This window comes from Homo sapiens, chromosome 17 (assembly GCF_000001405.40).
Source record: "Homo sapiens chromosome 17, GRCh38.p14 Primary Assembly".
Classification (NCBI taxonomy): domain Eukaryota; kingdom Metazoa; phylum Chordata; class Mammalia; order Primates; family Hominidae; genus Homo; species Homo sapiens.
In genome coordinates this window covers 47024774-47047788 of record NC_000017.11, presented here as the reverse complement: position 1 = coordinate 47047788, position 23015 = coordinate 47024774, and the positions used below count along the sequence as shown (strand labels likewise).

At 40.7% G+C, this 23015-nt stretch overlaps 1 protein-coding gene, 1 long non-coding RNA gene and 2 pseudogenes across 43 annotated transcripts in view; 1 reads left to right on the top strand and 3 right to left on the bottom strand.

Annotated features, from left to right (window-relative positions):
* LRRC37A2 (leucine rich repeat containing 37 member A2) overlaps nucleotides 1-23015 on the bottom strand; it is a 676337-nt gene that overhangs the window by 1340 nt on the left and 651982 nt on the right. The window lies entirely within an intron of this gene.
* The window catches only part of LOC101927060 (uncharacterized), a 117500-nt gene that overhangs the window by 52497 nt on the left and 41988 nt on the right, over nucleotides 1-23015 (top strand). For 35 of the 42 annotated variants that reach the window (XR_007065805.1, XR_243711.6, XR_007065812.1 and 32 more), the window contains one exon: nucleotides 14408-14511. The exons of 4 other annotated variants lie outside the window; for them this stretch is intronic. This is a non-coding gene — a long non-coding RNA (uncharacterized LOC101927060). Of the gene's footprint in view, nucleotides 1-12624; nucleotides 12746-14407; nucleotides 14512-23015 lie in introns of all 42 variants that reach the window. 3 more of the 42 variants (XR_007065802.1, XR_007065807.1, XR_002958110.2) reach the window with 1 other exon arrangement.
* The window catches only part of LRRC37A17P (leucine rich repeat containing 37 member A17, pseudogene), a 37223-nt pseudogene that overhangs the window by 6624 nt on the left and 7584 nt on the right, over nucleotides 1-23015 (bottom strand).
* RN7SL270P (RNA, 7SL, cytoplasmic 270, pseudogene) lies at nucleotides 5585-6060 on the bottom strand (annotated as a pseudogene).

Below are 23015 nucleotides of genomic sequence, written 5' to 3'. Positions count from 1 at the left end.
CTATTAGAAGAGCCAGGTAGCAATTTCTGGTTATGGAACCAGAAGCTCTCAGGCTTCAAATAAAACAGCATCACTTGTACTCTTATAAAACTGTAAAAACAGAAAAACCGAAACCGTATCTACATCTGTCCTATAAGGCAGAGAGTACTTGAGACCTCATGAATTTAAAACCACCTTACAAACTACTTTGCACTATATGAAGAAATTATCACTGTGGGCAAAGCATCAAGCAGAGAGCACAGTACACAGTGTGTGGATGTTAATGTTATTCTCTAGCCTTCCCATTCCTTTGTCTTGGTCCTTTGTGCATATGGAACAGTTCTATTATTAAATTTTGTAATAGTAACTGAGAACCTGACTCTCAGCAAGGGAGTAGTTCAGAAATTGAGGGAGTTTAACTCTGAATGAGTAAATAAAAATAAAGCAATTATGTCATTAGCTTAAAATTTTATCATCATTAAAAATAAAAAGTTTAAAAACAAATACTTAATGTAACAATTTATCACCGCGCAATTTGGACTCACGACAATGTATGGTGTTTGTCAGACATGCACTGTTGCAATGCAGCTTGACTGTCTTGCAGACAGCCTCAATGCTGTTTTTAAGTTGGCAGAGGCAGCAGGCCATATGGCTAGGTAAGATCCTATAGATGAAAACAGAGAGCAATAAATTAGCGGTAAAGCGGTTACTTGAGTAGGTAAAGGAGGCAGCCAACGCTGCCACAGGTGTGGGAAAAAGGTGTCATTGAAGCCTATGGACTGGACAGTTGGGTAGGAACCAGAAGGCCAATAGGAAGGAGGGCAAAGGTGCCCAACTGAAGGGTAAGCATGGCAGTGAGTATGGTATGCCTAGAATAAAGATGGTTGGGATTAGAATTGGGTGACAGTGATTAGTAGTTTAATTCAGAAGTATCTCTTCCCAACTCAAAAGTCTCACTTTGGGCTGAAAGTACAGAGGAAGAAGGTAGACTTTTAAGAAGTCTGAATAAGCCCCCAACTTCTGGAGTCCCTTTCTCAATTCCTGTTGGGAGTGGGAAATATTATAAATTACTCTGGGCATTAAAAATAGCTTAGTTTAACCTCGATTGTGGAGTTAAAAAATAACAAAGATTGCATTGGTCAAATCTGGACAATTTGAGCATTCAAAAGAATAACAACAATAAGTTACAACATATTTAATATAAAGAAGAATCCACGAAGAGTGATATAGAAAAAGAAAGAGGGGGAGTTCTTCTTCAATGAAATAATGCCAGCTAGTAAATGTAGAAGGAATGACAGAATTTTTAAAATTGTCACTTTGCAACCATCAGTGTAATACAAATTCATTCAGACAAGGATTATCACTGATGCACATTTGGGTGAAAAGACATTTGAGAACAGGATCTTCACTGAACTCAAAGTAACAACCCACAGATTATTTATTAATTACCAAGCGGAAAATTATTATTTTTTATTTTTATTTTGTCACCCAGGCTGAAATACAGTGGCAAAATTATACCTCATTGCAGCCTCAACCCCCCTGGGCTCAAGGGATCCTCCAAATTCAGTCCCCCGAGTAGCTGGGAGTATAGGCTTGCACCACCATGCCCAGCTAATTTTTTTTTTTTTTGTACTTTTGTATTTTCAGTAGTGACAGGGTTTCCCCATGTTGCTCAGGCTGGTGTAGAACTCCTGGGCTCAAGCAATCCTCCCACCTCAGCCTTCCAAAGTGCTGGGATTACAAGTGGGAGCCACTGTACCCAGCAAAATAATTACAATGGAGAGATCTGGAAGTTCACCTTGGTCAAGTGATCAAACTTAGTATTACAGGCCATCTGCAGTTACGAGGCAGGAAGGATACATCACCTATGCAGTATTTTTCCCAAAAATGCTTAACTTGAATTTCGTCATGAGGAAACAGACAAATCCGGGTTGTGGGACAATTTACAAGACAACTATCTTTGACTCTTAAAAAATGCCAATGTCATGAAAGATCAAAGAAAGTAGAAGCATGTTTTAGATTAAAGGAAATGAAGACATGACATGCAGTGCCTGATCTTTGATTAGATTCTGTACTATTCTTTCATCTTTCTGGCTTGTTTGAATTTTTTTCAATACGTAAATTTGGGCAAAAGAGGTAACCGAGACAATTGATTAATTTATTGTTGTGGCTTATTGGGGGCACTTTCAGAGAGATAAAAACAATCCCTGTAACTGAAGTAAAAGGTTAATCTTAGGCAGTATAGCATGGTCATTAAGAATACAGATTCCATAGCCAGACTATGCTTCAATCTCAGCTCTGCTAATAATGTGAATTTGGGCAAATTGTTAAATCTCTGTTCCTTGGCCTTGTCATTATAATAGTACCTACCTCTAATGAATTTTGAGGATCAAATGAATCAATACCTGAAAAATGCCTGGTGCACAGTGAGTGCTCAATAAGAGTTAACTATAATTATTATGTTGCAGAGGTTGTGGGGGGCCTTTTCTGAGTCCTCCAAAAGGATGGCTTTATTGGGGCCACATTGAGACTGTGAAAACAGAAGAGGGTTTCATGGATACAAGAAGTCTATGAATTGGGAGTACAATGTATAGAGTTTTAGATTAAAACTGCATCCAATGAGTTGGCCTGACACATCTTTCAAACCTATAGAGGAACAATCACAAGTGACTAGTATTATTCCTTTGGGTCCAGTGGAAGCCTCTGATCTTCATATGGAATGGACCCGGAACCGTAACCCAGCATTTTGTTATATAGCAGCCTTACCTCTGCCACAAAGGTGTTTCTTTTGTTTATTTTGAGGCCAGGTCTCGCTCTGTTATACAGGCTGAGTGCAGTGGTGCAATCTTGGCTCACTGCAGCCTCTGCCTCCTGTGCTCAAGTGATCCTCCCACCTCAGCCTCATGAGTAGCTAGAACTACAGGTGTGTGCCACCACGCCTGGCTAATTTTTATATATTTTGTAGAAATGGGGTTTCACCATGTTGTCCAGGCTGGTCTCGAACTCCTGGGCTCAAGCCACCCTCTCTCTTTGGCCTCCCAAAGTGCTGGGATTACAGGCTTGAGCCCAAAATTTTTGGTATTCTTTTTCTGCCCCCAAGTTTTTATTTTAAACATTTTCTTTTTTTCCTTTAAGCCTTAGAATGGCTGGGAAACATTTTCAAATGGTATAATGAACACCTGTATAACTTTCATCTGGAATCAGTAGTTGCTAATACTTTGCCACATTTGCTTTCCGTGTGTGTATGTCTATACATTTTCTGGACAAAACCATTTGAGAGTCAGTTGCAGACATAATGACCCTTCACCATTGAAGACTTCAGTGTGCAGCCCCTAAGAACCAAGGCATTCTCCGACATAACCAGAGGACTATCATCACCCAATGGAACTTCATATTATCATTGTCTACTATGTGGTCCATATACACATTTTCACAATTGTCCCAATCATAACATGGCTTAAAAAATTGAGAATCCAATCAAACATCAGACATTACACTTAGTACATGATTCTTTAGTCTCCTTCAATCTAGAACTGTTACCAGGATTGTTTTAAAGTATACTGACAAACCTTTGAGACTACAAGGAAAAAAAAAGTGGATAGCAAAGAAAAAATATGCCACAGAACTTTTCAGGTCAAAAACCCTAAAAGTGACTATGTTGGTAGGAAGCCCTGACTGTGGAGGAAACACTATTTCTAGCATCCTCCATAATTCAATTTGCTCATCATAATTCGTTGTTCATCTATTTTTTTTTTTTTTTTTTTGAGATGGAGTCTCACTCTTGTTGCCCAGGCTGGAGTGCAATGGCTTGATCTTGGCTGACTGCAACCTCAGCCTCCCAGGTTCAAGTGATTCTCCTGTTCTGCCTCAGCCTTCCGAGTAGCTGGGATTACAGGCACCCACCACCATGCCCAGCTAATTTTTGTATTTTTAGTAGAGACGGGGTTTTACCATGTTGGCCAGGCTGGTTTTGAACTCCTGACCTCAGGTGATCTACCTGCCTCAGCCTCCCAAACTGATAGGATTACCAGCTTGAGCCACTGGGCTGGATGCTTGTCTTTTATCTTTATAAAGTTTTTAAAATTCATGGCTTAATTTGCACAGTTAAAAAAAATAGGACCAATTCTTTTGCTTTATAGCCAAAGAAGAAGGAATAAATCTAAGAGGAGGAACTGGTCAAAACCATACTCCCACTTGTCTTCTTGTATGACATCACAGCCTTTCTTACATTGCATGTAATCACCTGTCCACTTGTCAGGCTCCTGGACTATGAGCGCTTTGAGGGCAGAGACCACATTTTTTTTTTTTCCTGAGATGGAGTCTCACTCTGTCGCCCGGGCTGGAGTGCAGTGGCGCAATCTTGGCTCACTGCAATCTCCGCCTCCCGGGTTCAAGCAATTCTCCTGCCTTAGCCTCCCGAGTAGCTGGGATTACAGGTGCCCGCCACCATGCCCTGTCATCCCCGTGCCTGGCATGATGTCTGAAATGTATTAGGCATTTAACAAATGTTTATTGAATAAACAAATGACATTTTGTTTATATGTCAATAAAATGAATAAATTGATTTTGATGCAAATTTTTATTCCAAAATGCTGGAATCGATTTTCTTTTTAATTCTTTAAGGTGAACAAGAAAAATAAAAGAAACAGGAAGAAATAAAAGAAAATCTGCCTTTAGGTTGACCCAAGAATCATCTTTGTACTTAGGCAGAAATTATAAAAATAATAATTATTACAGTGAGTATCTACTGGGTTGCCAGGTATTTGTGATCAGCAAATACCTTATGTGGTAGATATTATTATTGCCCTATTTTTAAATGAGGAAACTGAGGCACAGAGAGGTTATATAACTTGTCCTGGGTCACCAAGCTATTAAGCAGCAAAGCTGTAATTTGAACTCATGTGTTTATATATGAAGAAAAAGGGTTTATTTTAACCTTAGGTTTTTAAAAAATTTTTATTTTCGTTCTTCATTCTTTTTCTTTCTCTCTCTTTTTCCTTCCTTCCTTCCCTCCCCCTTCCTTCTTTCTATTTTCTTTCCTTTCCTTTCTTTCCTTTCTCCTCTCCTGTCCACTCCCCTCCCCTCCCCACCCAAACAGGGTCTTGCTCCATTGACCAGGCTGGAGTGCAGTGGCGTGATCTTGGCTCACTGCAACCTCCTCTTCCCAAGCTCAGGTAACCCTCCTTCCTCAGTCTCCCAAATTGCTGGGACTATAGGCACGCACCACCACGCCTGGCTATTTTTTGTGTTTTTAGTAGAGATGGGAGTTTCGCCATGTTTGCCAGGCTGGTCTTGAACTCCTGATCTCAAGTGATCCACCTGCCTTGGCCTCCCAAAGTGCTGGTGTGAGCCACTGGGCCCAGCCTTAATATTGAGAAGACTAAATACAGAAGTGCCTTTCAACCTTCTTCTACTCCTCTGGGAGGACCTCTATGAGAATTACAATTTCTCATTAGCAGGGCATGGCAGCGCTTGCCTGTAATTCCAGCTGTTTCAGAGGCTGAGGCAGGAGAATTGCTTGAACCCGGGAGGTGGAGGTTGCAGTGAGCCAAGATCAAGCCACTGTACTCCAGCCTGGGCGATAGAGCAAAAAAAAGTGGATTACAGTTTCTCTTTTTATGTCTTTCCCCTAATCATTTCCCATGATTAAATAGTTAATTAGTCTGTGGTCGATGAGACTTCTTTTTTTAAGAGACACATTCTCACTCACTGTGTTGCCCAGGCTGGAGAGCAGTGGCTATTCACAGCCATGATCCCACTAGTGATCAGCATGGGAGTTTTGACCTGCTCTATTCCTGAACTGGGCTGGGACACCCCTTTTTAGGCAACCTGGTGGTCTCCTTTTCCCGGGAGGTCACCATACTGATGCTGAACTTAGTGCGGACACCCAATCAGCATAGCATGCTACAGCCCAGAATTCCTGGACTCGAAGGATCCTTCTTCCTTTGCCTCCCGAGTATCTGGGACTACAGGCATGTGCCCAGTGAGCCTTCAGAGATTTAAAACCATGTTGTAAGTGACATCAGTGAAAATGGTGGAATAAAGACATCGAGGCTGGGCGCAGTGGCTCACGCCTGTAATCCCAGCACTTTGGGAGGCTGAGGCAGGTGGATCACGAGGTCAGGGGATCGAGACCATCCTGGCTAACAAGGCGAAACCCCGTCTGTACTAAATATACAAAAATTAGCTGGGCGTGGTGGCAGGCGCCTGTAGTCCCAGCCACTCGGGAGGCTGAGGCAGGAGAATTGTGTGAACCCAGGAGGTGGAGCTTGCAGTGAGACGAGATTGCGCCACTGCACACTCCAGCCTGGGCAACAGAGTGAGACTCTGTCTCAAAAAAAAAAAAAAAAAAAAAAAGAGACATCCAAAAATTCATCCCTTCATAAAAGCAACAAACACCAAGAAAAGGGCAAAAAAAAAAATTGACCATAATAAACTTTTTCAGAACTCTAGAAATGTAACCAAAGTCTTGCAGCAACCCGAGGAGCATTTATTCAAGAAAAATTTCTGTAAGAACAGTGAGATTTGTGTTAACTTGCCTTAGACCATTCCTCACTCTCTAGCTCAGTAGTTGCCTTGAAAAACAGCCCACATCCCCAAGCAGAGGGAGCAGAATGGAGCTGGAGCTCCTTCAAAGCCTTATTCTCAGTTAACTGTCATGATGTCATCTGTCTGGTGGTTCCCTGGAAGACCTCATTTGAAAGGTTTGTCTTTATTTGACCAGAATGAAAGCTGTCTAGTGCTAAAGCCTCTCCACAGAGGGTGTTTTTGGAAAACAATTACAGACAAGTGTTTTAACATGGCAACTGTATTCGGCAATGAATAACAGTTTGGGGAAAAAAAGCCTAATCGAAAAGCTTAATAGGAAAAGCTGAGTAATAAGATGTCCACAGGAATTTTGAAACACTCTGATATATGCTTGGGAAACTAGAAGTCCATAAGACATATTCCTGGCAATTTGCAATGTCATGCGCATGCATAGGGCAGGCTGCCAGCATGGTCAGGAAAGACCTACTAAGTTCATAAACTCTCACCCCTGGCTGATCTTGAGGTTCTGCACAAGCAAGAAGTGAAAGCTAAGGCATGGCTGTAAATTGTCTAGCTGAGTGCTGAAGGTATGCCCCAACATGTACACAGAGCCCCTTGGCAAAAACTAGGAGACTTATCAGTTCCAAGAATTTAAGTAAATCTTCATTTAATCATTAGCTGATCGGTAAGCTAACCAAGGAGATACTTTAGTGGCAACACATGACATATAATGCGAGACTTTACAGAAGAAGTTCAGAAAAGTCACTAAATAAATAGCAACTACTAACACAAGCAGCAGTAACACCAAACCCTGGCAGCATGGATCTGATTTTCAGAATTGCTACATTATGTTATTTAAAATATTCAACTTTTAACAAACATTTATGAAAGATGCAAGGAAACAAAGTATGGCCCAAACACTTGGTGGGGGGAGAAATAAGCAGAAATTGTCCCTGAGAAAGACCAGATATTAGACTTACTAGACAAAGATTTTTTTATTTTTTATAGTTGGGGTCTTGCGAAGTTACCCAGGGTGGTCTTGAACTCCTGGCCTCAGCCTCAACCTCAGCCTCAGCCTCCCAAAGTGCTGGGATTATAGGCATGAGCCACCATGCCTGGCCTAGAGAAGGATTTAATTCAGCTATTTAAAATATATTCAAAGAGATAAGAGAAATGATTCAGTTCTGTAGACTAGAGAACTAAAGGAAAGTATGAAAGCAATGTCTCATCAAATAGAGAATATCAATAAAGAGATAGAAACCATAAAAAGGAGCCAAATAGAAATTCTAGAGTTGAAAAGTATGGTAACTGAAATGGAAAAATTATTAGAGGTTCTCAATGGCACATTACAGCAGGCCGAAGAAAGAATGGGGAACTTGAAGGTTAATTGAGATTGTTGACCCTGAGGAACAGAAATAAAAATGAATGAAAGTGAATGGAATCTCAGAGACCTGTTTGTGGAACACATCATCAAGCTTACTAACATACACATAATGAGAGTCCCAGGAGAAGAAAAACAGAAAAAAGGAGAAAGAATATTTGAAGAAATAATGGCCCCAAACTTCCCAAACATGATGAAAAACAATCTGCATATTCAAGAAGCTCAAGGAACTACAAGTAGGAAAAACTGAGGGATCCACATCTAAACATACTGTAATCAAACTGACAGAAGCCAAAGACAGAATATCTTGAAAGCAGCAAGAGAAAAGCAACTCATCACATACAAGGGATCCTCAATAAGATTAATAGCTGATTTCTCTTCAAAAACAATGGAGATGCTGGGCATGGTTGCTCACACCTGTACTCCCAGTGCCTTGGGAGGCTTGAGGCTCAAGAATTGCTTGAAGCCAGGAGTTGGATACCAGCACTGGCAATAGAGTAAAACCCTGTCTCTACAAAAAATTTAAAAATAACTGGGCATGGTGGTGCATGCCTGCAGTCTCAGCTACCCAGGAGGCTGAGGTGACAGCATTGCTTAAGCCTGGGAAGTGGAGGCTGCAACGATGTGAGTGGTTGCACCACTGCACTCCAGCCTGGGTAACAGAGCAAGTCCCTGTCTAAAAACAAAGCAACCACACACAACAGTGGAGGACAAAAGGCAATGAAATGGCATATTCAAAGTGCTGAAGAAACTGTCAACCAATAATTCTATACCTGTCAAAACTACCTTTGAAATTGAAGAGAAATTAAGATATTCTAGATAAATAAAAACTGAGAGACTTTGTTGCTAGAAGACCTGCCCTATAAGGAGTACTAATGTGAATCTGCACAAAGAAATAAAAAGCACTGGTTGGGCGCAGTGGCTCAGGCCTGTAATCCCAGCACTTTGGGAGGCTGAGGCTGGAGGATCACTTGAGGTCAAGAGGTTGAGACCAGCCTGGCAAACATGGTGAAACCCTGTCTCTACTAAAAATACAAAAATTAGCTGGGTGTGGTGTTACGTGCCTGCAGTCCCAGCTACTCAGGAGGCTGAGGCACTAGAATCGCTTGAACCTGGGAGGCAGAGGTTGCGGCGAGTAAAGATTGTGCCACTGCACTCTAGCCTGGGCAACAGAGTGAGACTCTGTCCCAAAACAAAAAAAAATAAGAAAAAGATACTTACATAATGCAATAATTATAAATCTAGTTGATGAACATAAAGTATATAAAGATGTAATGTGTGACAATAACAGTATAAAGGAGGGGGTGAGAGTGGAGCTTTAGAGAAGCGAAGTTTTTGTATACCATTGAAACAAAGTTGGAATTAATCTGAACTACAACGTTATAAAATTAAGATGTAGCTGAGACGACAGGTGCGCACCACCACACTCGGATAACTAAAAAAAATTTTTAGAGATAGGGTCTCACTATGTTGCCCAGGCTGGTCTCAAACTCCTGGCCTCAAGCAATCCTCCTTCCTTGGCCTCCCAAAGTACAGGGATTATAGGTATGCACCACTGCATCTGGCCACAAACATTTTGTTTTTTTACTGTTCATTTTTCAAGACAGGTTTTCACTCTGTTTCCCAGGCTGGAGTGCAGTGGCACAATCATGGCTCACTGCAGCCCTGATCTCCTCAAGTGATCCTCCTGCCTTAGCCACCAGAGTAGCTGTGACTACAGGCGTGTGCCACCATGTTCAGCTAACTTTTAATTTTTTTTTGTAGAGATAAGGTCTCAGTATGTTGCCCTGGCTGGCCTCGAACTCCTGGGGTCAAGCAATCCTCCCACCGCAGCCTCCCAAAGTGCTAGGATGACAGGTGTGAGCCACTGCACTGCACAAATACAGAAGACCAAATTATTAAAATTAGAAATGAGAGGGGACATTACTATTGTTCTTAGAGACATAAAGGATTATAATATGATGAAAAGGATTATACATATAAACAATATATGCTAATAATTGGATAAGCTGGATGAAAGACACATTACCAGAAAGATATGAACTACTGAATCTGACTTGAGAAAAAAACAGAAAATCTGAATAGACAGACCTATGTCAAGTAAAGAGATTGAGGTAGTAATCAAAAAACTTTCCACTAAGAAAAGCTGAAGACCAGCAGGCAGCCTCACTGGTGAATCTACCAAATACTTACAGAAGAATTAACACCAATCCTTCATAAAGTCTTTCAAAATACAGATGAGGAGAGAACATTTCCTAACTTATTCTATGAGGGTGATATTAACCTGGTATCCAAACTAAAGACATCACACACAAAAAATTACAGACCAGTATTTCTTATGAATGTAGATGGAAAAATGCTTGACAAAATCTGGCAAACCAAATTCAACAGAGTATTCTGTAAACATGAAGCAGATAATAATAGCACGATTCTCCAAATTGATCTATGGTTTCACTACAATTGTTGTTTTTTTGAGTGAAAAAGTTTTCATTTATTGGCCGGGCACGGTAACTCATGCCTGTAATCCCAGCACTTTGGGAGGCTGAAGCAGGTGGATCATCTGAGGTTAGGAGTTCGAGAGCAGCCTGATAAACGTGCTGAAACCCCGTCTCCATTGGAGTCTCACTCTGTTGCCCAGGCTTGAGTGCAATGGCGTGACCTCGGCTTACTGCAACCTCCACCTCCTGGGTTCAAGTGATTCTCCTACCTCAGCCTCCTGAGTAGCTGGGATTACAGGTGCCTGCCACCACCCCCTGCTAATTTTTGTACTTTTAGTAGACACGGGGTTTCACCATGTTGTCCAGGCTGGTCTCTAACTCCTGACCTCAGGCAATCCACCTGCCTCAGCCTCCCAAAGTGCTGGGATTACAGGTGTGAGCCACTGCGCCCTGCTAACATATCCTCTTTCTAAAAAGCTACATATATTGCAAAGTATTGGAATAGGAATAACATAGCAGTTAGGTTGGGCATTTGGGTTGATTACATATCTTTGCTATTATCAGTACAATTCTTATCAAAATCCCAGCTGGCTTCTTTCCAGAAAGTGACAAGCTAGTTCTAAAATTATAATGCAATTTAAGGCACCCTAAATAGGAAAATAATCTTGTAAAATAACAAAGTGGGAAGACTCAAATGTCCCAATTTCAAAACCCAAATCAAATCTACAGCAATCACAGTGTGATACTGGAATGTGGACAGACAAATAAATCAATAGAATAGAATTGACAACCCAGAAATAAACCCTCACATTTATGGAAAATTGATTTTTGACAAGGGTGCTACAACAATTCTACGTGGAAATAATGTTTTTTTTTTTAAATGGTGCTGGAACAACTGAACATCTATGTGCAACATAATGAAGGTGGACCCCCTACATCTCACACAATTATAAGAATTGATGCAAAATATGTCAAATACCTAAATGTAAGAGCCAAAATGATAAGACTCTTAGACAAACACATGGGAGTAAATCTCATGACCTTAAATTAGACAACAGTTTTTTCTTCTCCAAACTGGATTTTTTTTCTTTTAAAACAATTTTGTCTTTTGAATTTAATGAAGTATTACTAGCTGAAGGCAGCCTGACATGGTGACAAGAATGTCAGACAGATGAAAGGGACACAGCCTGATTTAAAACCAAACACTGAACCTTTTTAAAGAAGAGTAAGACATTTTATACACACACATGACACCAAAAGCACAAACAACCAAAGGAAAAATAGATACATTAGATTTTATCAAAATTAAAAACTTTTGTGCATCAAAGGACACTGGCAAGAAAGTCACAGAACTCACAGGATGAGAGAAAATATTGGCAAATTATCTGTTAAGGTCTAATATCCAGAGTATCCAGAAGATATAGAGAATTCCTATAATTCAATAAAAAGACAAATCAATTTTTTAAATGGGCAGAGGCAGAGGATTTGAATAAATATTTCTTCAAAGAAGATATATAAATGGCTCATATACACATAAAAATGTTGAATGTCTTAAATCATTAGGGAAATGTCCATCAAAAACTGCAGCGAGATACTACTTTACACTCACTGGGATGGCTATGAGAAGAGACAGACAACGACAGTGTTGACAAAGACCCGGGGAAATTGAAACCCTCAAACACTGCAGATGGAAGTGTAAAATGGAGCAGCCACTGTGGAAATCAGCCTGACAGGTCCTCAAAAAGTTAAACATAAGAGTTGCCATATGATCTAGCAATTCTGCTAGGGATGCACCCTAGAATTAAAAACATGTCCACACAAAAAGTAGTACATGCATGTCCATAGCAGCATTATTCATAAAAGCCAAAATAAAGTAGAAACAACCAAATGTCCACTAAGTGATGAATGGATGAACGGATATAGTGATGGCTCCATACAATGGAATATCACTCAGCCTTGCAAAGGAATGATCCATGCTGCAGCATGGGAGGACCTTAGAAACAACATGCTTCGTGAAAAGAAACTAGACACAAAAGGCCACATACTGTATGATTCGTTTATATGAAAGATCTAGAATAGGCAAATCCATAGGGACTCAAAGTAGATTAGTAGTTACCTGGGCCTGAGGGAAGACAGCACTGGGGAGTGATGGCTAATGGGTACCATGTTTTTTTGGGGGATGATGAAAATGTTCTGGGGTTAGATAATGGTGATTGTTTGCTATACAACCTTGAGAATATACTAACCACCACTGAATTGTACACTTTATAATACTGCGTTGATGGTATGTGGATCAAGTCTCAATTTAACACAAAGAAGCATGTTGTGCTGTATAGAACACCAGGTGCCAGAAGACCAAACATGCTGGCAGATGGAAAGAAGAGGAGTGAAGATTCACTCTCCCTTGACCAAGATCAGAGTGAGTCAGTGGCGAGGCTGGGAGCCACACAGCTTGTCCTGCCTTGTGATCCCCCTCCTCTTCCTATTCCAGATGGTTTTTCAGTGCCATTAACTTGTTTTGTAACACTAATATTCAATAAGATGATGTTACAAAGAGAAAGAATGTGAGTGCCACATGACTGGTTAAGTATGGATTCTCAAACTAGGGCTTTAAATATCCTTCGTGATTTTTTTTTGGCATGAAAAGTTGTAAGACCACTGGTGGGCTCTGTACAAAGTCGGCTACCTCTTCATTCTATATCTTCCTCTGCCCACTTTCCTCCCAGCTATTAAAAATGAATGTAGGCTGGGCACAGCATCTCAAGCCTGTAATCTCAGCACTTTGGGAGGCCAAAGCAGAAGGAGAGCTTGAGCCCAGGAGTTTGAGACCAGCCTGGGTAACAAAGTGAGACCCTGTTTCTATTTTTTTCTAAACACCAAAAATAATGACTGTAAGGCAGTATGTAGCCAAACAACTTAGCAAAGTTTGTTATCTTTCCTCCAAAATTCTCTCACTCTCCAACCTTCCCTCTTTCTTGATAGCTCATCCATAGCCTTGAGCTCAGCATTACCTCTGAACTAGGAAGCTCTTCTCCAGCTGACATTAGGATCTTTGCATTTGTCCCTAATGAAATCAAAATGTAGGGCCATTCGATATTATCCTCTTTTCCTCCTGTTCTAAGGCATTCTTTTCTTGACTAAGGTTGTGCCTGGGCCATGGAGAGACTGAGTGGGAACTGGCTCAATGGCTCAAGTTTGAGGACTCTACAGCAACTCTTTTCCACAAACCAAATGATATGAATGTTTTTATTTATTTATATTTATGTTTCCACTTTTTAAAAGTCTTTTTGTAGAGATTGGGGTCTCACTTTGTAGCCCAGGCTGATCTTGAACTCCAGGGGCTCAAGCGATCTGCCTGTCTTGGCCTCCTAAAGTGCTGGGATTACAGGCATGAGCCAGTGTGCCCAGCCTTGAGTGTTTTTAGATTCACAGTAGATGATCATTTCCATTTCTGGTTCAAGTCCTTCATTTTATACATTAAACTAAGGTGCACTGACTCCCAGTCCATCGCCTTTTTGGTATCTTTATGGGAGTAAAATGTGGCAAGCTTTTTTCCAGCCTCAAAGACTGTCTCAGAGTAAAAGTTTAAGAAGTACTGCTCTAAATAATTTTATTAAATATGCCTTATTAGATGAGGAAAACTGAAATATTTTTATACAAGCCTTTTGCTGTAGAACAATGGGACAGAATAAAGGTAGCTCACAAAATAAGGGAACATTTCTTGCCTGTTCTTTTTTTTCCCTCCAAATTCTTCTGTACAGGTCCAGATAGATGGGCTATGTTTCCTTTCTATTAACTGAGGAGAGAGAGATGAAAGGACTGGAGCATGTCATCACTGTCTTAAATGTACTGAAATTCTAACAGCTCTAGCTGAAAAAATGTCCAAAGCAGGCCGTGAAAATAAATTTAAATGACAAACTCCAAAATGATCTATGCTAGAATCCCAAGGCTGTCAGGGAAAACTGGTTCCATGGAAGAAGGTAGTCAAAGAAATAAGCAGATCAGATGACCTAGACCCTCACCCAATATGCGCGATGTACTTGGGGAGAAAGTAACCTCTTTCCTTTATTCACCTACATAGGTTCGTGAGCCACACATCTCCCCACACCAAGCTCCTCCATACAAGACCTCGGACTGCATCACGTAAATGCTTTTTCAGGGGCAAAATCTAGAGAATCTGAAACGGTGAGCCTTTTTTCTTTTCTTTCTTTCTTTTTTTTTTTTTTTTTTTTTTTTTTTTTGAGATGAAGTCTCACTCTGTTGCCCAGGCTGGAGTGCAGTGCAGTGGTGTGATCTTGGCTCACTGCAAACTCCACCTCCTGGAGTCAAGTGATTCTCCTGCCTCAGCCTTCAGAGTAGCTGGGATCATAGGTACCCGTCCCCATGCCTGGTTAATTTTTGTATTTTTAGTAGAGACAGGGTTTCACCATGTTGGCCAGGCTGGTCTCGAAATTCTGAGCTCAAGTGATGCACCCACCTTGGCCTCCCAAAGTGCTGGGATTACAGCATGAGCCACCATGCCCAGCTGTGAGCCTGTATCTTAATCAAAGTCCTGAGAATAACCTTGAAGAAGACTCCCTTGCAATGAGGAACAACAGAAGAAGCAAGGGACCTGGAATCTGGCAGACCTGGGTTTGAATTCTGGCTCTGTCACTTTCTGGTGAAGTGACTTGAGTAATGAACATGAGCCTTTCTGGGTAGCATTTACAGCACAAAGCAATTTGAGGAATAAATGAAAGAGCACGTGTCTAGTGCCTAGCAATGCGCTGGACACAGTGCCGGTGCTCAGCCATCATGTCACACCAGCACTGACCGGTGAGCATAAACCCTGGGGATGCCCAGAGCTGGTACAGCCAGGAGCTCCAGAAGCGTGGGATTCTCAGAGGGAAGTGGAGCTCACTGCTCTACAGGTCCTGTTCAAGTTAGAAAGTAAGATACAATGCACACAAAGCCAAATTGTCATCATTCAGCTCCTATTACAGGAGAACTAAGAGCTGCATTGAAAATTACTTGCAAAGCTTGTAAGTGGTTCTGCCACTTATTAGCCGTGTGAACCTTAGCAAATTACCTAGCGTCTCTGAGTTTCAACTTCCTCATCTGCAAAATAGAAATGATAATAATAACCGCATCGCAAGAGTTGTTGGAAAAATGAAAATGAGGTATCATAGGAGGTAACATGTATGGAGCATTTACCATAGGCCAAGCACTGTTCTAAGAACTTCGGACATGTTATCTCACTTGTATAAGTACTTAGGTGCCTACAACATAAACAGCACCTGGTAAATTAAGTATTGAAAAAATGCTATGGGGCAGAGGAAGAAATGCTAAGCTTCTGTGAGAAGAGAAGACAGCTTGTTACACAGGTGAAAAGAACAAGCTGCAGCTGAGAGAAGAAAAGTATAAGAGTTGCTAGGTGTGACAATCTCAAGACTTTTCAACCACTACAAATTTAAACAGCCACCCTAAATCACCCCAAAGGACAGACTCGAGTTGTTCTTTTTGTCTTTAATGTTTGCGCCTCTCCGAATCAGAGAAGAAGCTGCCAGGATTCCAGTACATACCAAAACATGATGACAATACCCTCAACTGTGCAAGCTTTTGTGCATCTACCGCTATGTAAAGGAAGCTGATGTCAGTAGACTGGGGGGAACAGTAAGGCATGTTTGTGACCGAAGCTCAATTTGCCATCACAGTGTGGCCACACCTACCTCACTAATATTCTAATAGTGGGATAAATAATTCAATAGGGATAAAGCCTGGATTTTCCTCTTATTCTCTCTTAGTGCTTACATTCTTGGCATGATATCGATGTGCCATAGACAAGCCAATATATGAGTGTACTCTATCTGAATAAAGTATAGCCTTTCTACATTGCAAAGTCATCCAGTTTCTAAAATTATTGTTAGAACCAATGAAGTGACTAAGAGAATTTTAAAAAATAAGCCATCAGTCTGGACCTGTGTATAGGAATGAAGGAGAAGCACTTTAAAGTCAGGGAAAAAATATAAACATACTTAACATTTAGGATTATCAACCATTGCTGCTTTTCCATAAACCATTTCATTCATGATTTCATCTGTAAGAGATATGATTATTGCCCCCATTCAGTGAGGGACTTTGATAGTTAGCCACCTGGTCCTTCTTGCTTGGATGCCCTGCAAATAAATGTCCTCCTTTCCCCAATGCAAAACCTCGATATGGTTGTTTGACTTTACTGCGCTTGGGCCAGCAGAATCCAGTTAAGTCCACGAATAAGCTCTTGGCCTGTCTTTGAGATGGATTTCAGATTCAAAATAGACTGACCCTATCACCCTGCTAATTTGGCCAGTCAGTATTTGTCAATAACATAGAGGCTTCATTCAAGAGATTTACTGGGTTGTAACTATTGGAACCCAGGGATGATTTCAGGATTTTGTGGGGCCTGAGCCTTATCTTGTAAAAACATTAAAAAAATTATGACTACAAAAATTTCCAGGGGCCCTCCCAGGACCTTGGAAGGGCCTGTGCAAGTGAGAAGCCTGGAAGGTTAGGCTCTATTCAATTCATCATCGATCAACCACAGCTGGGGCCTCTTTTTTTGTTTGTTTTTTACAAACTTGTGTAATGCAGGGAAATATATTGTTTCAACTTACAAACACCACAAAATGGTGTCATATTGGTCATAAAATTACTGGCACCTTCCCTTGGCATCTTGCCTTTGGAAGGAAATGCAGTGGGCCTATATGTCACATATGCCAAATATGACTGCAGTGTAGCTTTGTTTACCAGGAAGATTTGACTCCAAAGGAGCCCAGCCCCTAACATACACTTGGTGTGTTGAGACCCTTGTGCCAATCTTTGAAAGTAACTGTGACTTAGTTTGAAGGGTACAGCTCTATTCTGTTTATATGAAATGAGTGCTAGTTTCCAATATCAGCTAGCTCTGATTTTTTCATCACCATGAAGCAAATGCCTTTTTCTGTTGTTTAAGATGAACACAGAAACTCAAGATAAGCAAGTTAGTGTCTCTCAAGTCTTTCTTAACCCAGCCCCCATTCCTGCTTTGTCCTCTCCTTGTCACCCTGCCGTACAGATCCCCACATGGCTCTCATATGTTTTCCCATCAGCATCCGCTTCCTCCTTGAGGAATGAAAGTCCCCTGGGGACAAAGTCCTCATCTTGGTGTGTCTTTGAGATGGATTTTGTAGCCCCAGCACTTAGTACAGTACCTGGCACAAATGGACATGGCACTCTGAATGTTTTTGAGTGAATTCATTAATTTTTATCAACTGTGATTCCAGTGTTTTCCTGGTGTTGCCTACATAATTGTAGTGAAGCTGGCTAGATGATGATGATGATGATGATGATGATGATGATGATGATGATGATGATGATTATTATTATTATTATTATTATTATTTGAGACAGAGTCTCACTCTGTCCCTCAAGCTGGAGTGCAATGGTGCCATCTCGGCTCACTGCAACCTCCGCCTCCTGGTTTCAAGTGATTCTCCTGCCTCAGCCTCCTGAGTACTTAGGATTACAGTTGCCTGCCACCATGCCCAGCTAATTTTTGTATTTTTAGTAGAGACAGGTTTCACCATGTTGGTCAGGCTGGTCTTGAACTCCTGACCTCAAGTGATCCACCCACCTGAGCAAAGTGCTGGAATTACAGGCATGAGCCACCGCTCCCGGCCACCAGATTTTTATGAGGGACTCCCAGTTGTATAAAGTGCTTAGTAAAGATGGTGAGTTTAAAACATTTGTATTGATGCTACCTAAACCTCTTCGTGGAGGGACCTAATGAGCCTGTTCTCTGGTGTGAGGGAAAAAGAAAAACAGACCTTTAGTGTGCTTTTCCTAAGTTATGCATCAGCAAATTAATGAGGACAGAGGGGAGCATGTGCAGAAACTGCTGCTCTAGTCCAGACACATCCTGAATGCTTCCCTCTATCTCGAAGTGAACTGTGTGAAACTAGATTTCTGAACCACAAGGCAGGTGGAAAGTCTTTTCTAAAGTCAGATGTAGAGGAGAATCTTCACCTTGAGTCCCCTTCAGGCCACTGAATATACCCACTCTGATTTGATGGGTATGTTATACAAAGAAATCATAGAATTTTTGCAATTATGGTAGAAGAGTAGTCAGGAAAGTATATGGAATTAAGATACAGCGATATATTTTCTTTACAAAAGTTTTTTTTTGCACAATAGCTTAACATAAACACCATCTTGGCCAGGCATGGTGGCTCACACCTGTAACCCCAGCACTTTGGGAGGCTGAGGTGGGTGGATCACCTGAGGTCACAGGAGTTCGAGACCAGCCTGGAGGGGAGGTTGGAGTGTAGTGGCACAATCTCGGCTCACTGCAACTTCCACCTCCCGGGTTCAAGCCATTCTCGTGCCTCAGCCTCCTGATAGCTAGGATCACAGGCGCCCGCCACCATGACCTGCTAATTTTTGTATTTTTAGTAGAGATGAGGTTTCGCCATGTTGGCCAGGCTGGTCTCAAACTCCTGACCTCCAGTGATCCTCCCACCTTGGCCTCCCAAGGTGCTGGGATTACAGGCATGAGCCACCATTCTGGCCCTACAACTTTGGATTTGATTCCTGCTCATATGCAGAGTTTCTAACTGCTTAAATGTCTGCAACATTTAGCTGCAAGGAAGGAAGCTTAACACAAAGTCCTCCAGGGAGCAAAAAACTGCACCACCACGCCCAGCTAATTTTTTTGTATTTATAGTAGGGACAGGGTTTCACTATGTTGGCCAGGCTGGTGTTGAATTCCTGACCTCGGGTGATCCACCCACCTCGGCTCCCAAAGTTCTGGGATTACAGGTCTGAGCCACCCCGCCCAGCAATAAGGCTAATTTGAGGGTCACCTCTTTGATGCCTTTTCTTGCCCATGCTATAGGTCAGAACTAGGACAAGCAGAGGAGGTCATATATAAGCTATGTAAGTCTCTTGGCCTCTTTGTACCTTAGCTTCCCCATTTGAGAAAAATGAATGGATCTTAAGACACGCTTTTCAGAGTTGATAATGGGCTTATACCCAGCTACCCAATAATTGTATGAGTTTTTGTAGATAAATAGTTGTTTACATGTATTCATCTTCTATTTCACTTACAACTTATGTAAAAACTGCATTTCGTGCCAGGCCTGAAATGTTCCAAAGCTGAGTTCTGTAATTACATTGCAACTAAGATTTCTAAAAAAAAAAAAGACACAAGCCAAAGGAAAAAAATAATTATTTCAGAACATTTATCATTTGCCATGATTCTAATTTATACAGGATGGAACATAACCTCAATCCTTTCTCTATGCACTAAGGAAATCTCACTGTGGAAGATACTGGCTTATGATTTATACTTTAACACTGCACACGTGGTGCATTAGATACAAAACAGTGAATGCTCAGTAAATACCTGTGTTAAGTGATCTTTATTTCTCTAGAACAGGATTTCACAACTTCAGTGCCATCAACATTTTGGACTATATAACTCTTTGCCATGGGGGTTTGTCTTATACCTTGAAGGATGTTTAGCAGCATCTCTGGCCTTTGCCCACCAGATGCCAGGAGCACACTCACAGTTTTGTCAACCAAAACTGTCTCCGGACATTACCAGATGCCACCTGAGTACAAAATCACACCAGCTGAGAACCACTGCTCTCTGATGATTCACTAAGATCTGTGTAATAATTCTCACAATAATCCTTGCTAGAGACAAAAAGGATTTGCTGTATAATTTTAGTAGCTTTCTACTGGTAAAATTTTAATTATATTTCAAGAATAGCAAAGAGGTTTATAATTAAGTTTTATAAAAATTCCAAATGTAATCAAGTTATATTTGTAACTTACATAAACTTCAAAAATGGTAGTGGTTCAAATGTATGTCTTTCAATAGACTGTATTTTATTGCAGGATAAATCTCTAGGAAAAGGAAAAGGAAAATATTGCCTTGATTAGTTATTAAATGTTGATTGGTATGAATAATAGCAAGAGTTTAGAATAATATTGGATACACATTTTTTATCTCAACTCTAAACGTTTGGACTTGTATTTGAACTTTCCAGAGCCCCTAACCCTACCCATACCTCTCCTAGAGTCTCACCTTCATGGTTTTAATAAATATACAACATAATAGACTTTGGAATTAATTTTTCCTGAGAGCAGTAGACTTGATTAGATGCCCTTTTGTAGTGTCATCAAATCTTAGATTATGAGCTCAAAGATTTTATCTCTATATATACAATTTCTAATATTAAAAAAAATAGTCGGGCCGGGTGCGGTGGCTCAGTCCTGTAATCCAGCACTTTCGGAGGCCGAGGCTGGCAGATCCTGAGGTCAGGATATTGAGACCATCCTGGCTAACACGGTGAAACCCCGTCTCTACAAAAAAATAGAAAAAATTAGCCAGGCCTGGTGGCACGTGCCTGTAGTCCTAGCCGCTCAGGAGGCTGAGGCAGGAGAATGGCATGAACCCAGGAGGTGGAGCTTGCAGTGAGCCGAGATTGCACCACTGCACTCCAGCCTGGGCGACAGAGCGAGACTCCATCACAAACAAACAAACAAACAAACAAAGTCTCACATTTCTACACCTTCTTAGTTTAGGTCTGTTTTCCTAAGCCAGTTCAATATCAGAAGAAATAAAAGACATCCTTTCACATCATTTGAAAGGAAGCTACCCCTTTACCTAATACATAACTTTGAACTAATTCAAATCATATTAATAGAATTAATTTCTATCATATTAATAGAAATTCATTTTTGGTTTTATATTGCTTTAATATTTCATAAAAGAAATTTATTCAGTTATACAGTGATGGAGTTTGTCCCTCCCTCTTTACCTGGATGGTGTAACGTTGTCTGGCTGATGTCTCCATCTCTAGTCTCTCCCTTCCTAAACTATCCTGCACACAGTCATCATATAAACTCTCCAGAAGTGGCTTGCAAAGACCAGCATCTCCTGGGAAGTTACTGAAGATGCAAATTCTTGGTCCCACTCTAGACCAACTGAATCAGTAACTACGAGGGTGGAGTCCAGAACTGAGTTCTAACGTGCCCTCTCAACGACTGTGATGCAGATCTACCTTACAGCACTGCTGTGGTAACATGGTTCCCCATGTTGGCTCCTCAGCTTGGCATTCAAAGCCCTAGAAGATCTGGCTCCATTTTCCTACTCTCCCTTCTTGTACTCTACGGGTACTCATGGCATTCCTTGAATACTTTCCTGTGTTTTGCCCTCCCATTTTCCTTTTGCAAGTTTAGAGTATTTTCCCCAAGATGTCTCTCTGATGTTACACAATGGCCCTTCAAAGTCCTATTCAAATGGCATTGTTCTAGTAACATCCTCCTGGGTCCAAATTGAAGGCATTTTTTCCTCTTCTATGTTCGAGAAACAATTTATCCCTCCTAGTGCCCACATCCATTTCTTCTTCTTAATGTAGTTATTTTGTATCCCATTTCTTCTGAGCATAAACAGGTCCCTGAAAGCATGGACTAGGTCTTGCTCATCTGCATTGCCCACCATGTTTAAAACTGACACATGGAAATAAAGCAAACTCAAATATTTGTAAAATAAATGAATAGGGGGGAGTGAGTAGAAGGAAAATAACTATTTTAAAGGAAACGTAGTTTTATTATTTCATGGTCTCTGTAGCACTTTGGCATCCACCTGAGGGTCTTTACACCCACTTTCCTTAAGCCTTCTATATTTGAGAGAATCTGTTTGCAAAAGAGCATCACTAATGAGCTTAATAAGGATTAATGACATACACACCTCTATGGACAAAGGGTAAGAATCAAGCATTCATAGCAATGAACATAGTATCTTCTTGTCTCTAAACAGACAGAAATACAGGGATCCCTTTCTTGGTAACAGGGCTGGGGCGATCGTTATTTTGTAATTAGTGAAGAGTTAGGGGCATTTCTGATGTGCTTCTTAGGGTAAACATTTCTAGCTCTACCACTTAACCATCATTTTAAACATCTGTATTAATATAACAATTCCTGAAATGAAATCCTTAATACCAGTCTATTCTCTTGGTAGCTTAATATTCTCGATAATATTATTGATATAATTCAGCTGATTTTTAATATTTAAATGTTAATTTAATTCCGATTAAATTACCAAAAATTCTGGAATAATGATGTTCAAATGAATGCAGGTGGTCTCCATTTTCTTCTCCTTTAGGCAACAATCTGAAGTTAACTTTAGTTCCTTTCATCCTACTAAACCAACTTTTTGAAATTTTTTTTGTGAAGGTCAGACAGTAAATATTTTAGGCTTTGTGGGCCACATATGATCTCTCTCACATATTTCTCTTTGTTTCTTTTCTTTTTCTTTCACAGTCCTTTAAAAATGCAAAAACCATTCTTAACTTAATGGGCTATTTAAAAATAGACCATAGATTAGATTGGATCTATTGGTTGTAGACCGCATAGAAAAAGAATGATATGTGAACCCTTATAAAACAAGGTTCATATGGGTGTCAGTCACTGCTCAGATTTTCTTACCATGTGAAATGTTTTTGTCTGTATTTTGTCTATATAACTTAAAAACTGAAAATGCACAGGAGGTAGCTAGTGCTAGAGATGGGCTGAGACCCTATACAAACTTACAGAATTGCAGAATTTTATTGCTCAAAGAAATCTGAGAGATTATCTAATTTGAACCCCTTATTCATTGTACAGATAATATGACTAAAAACTCA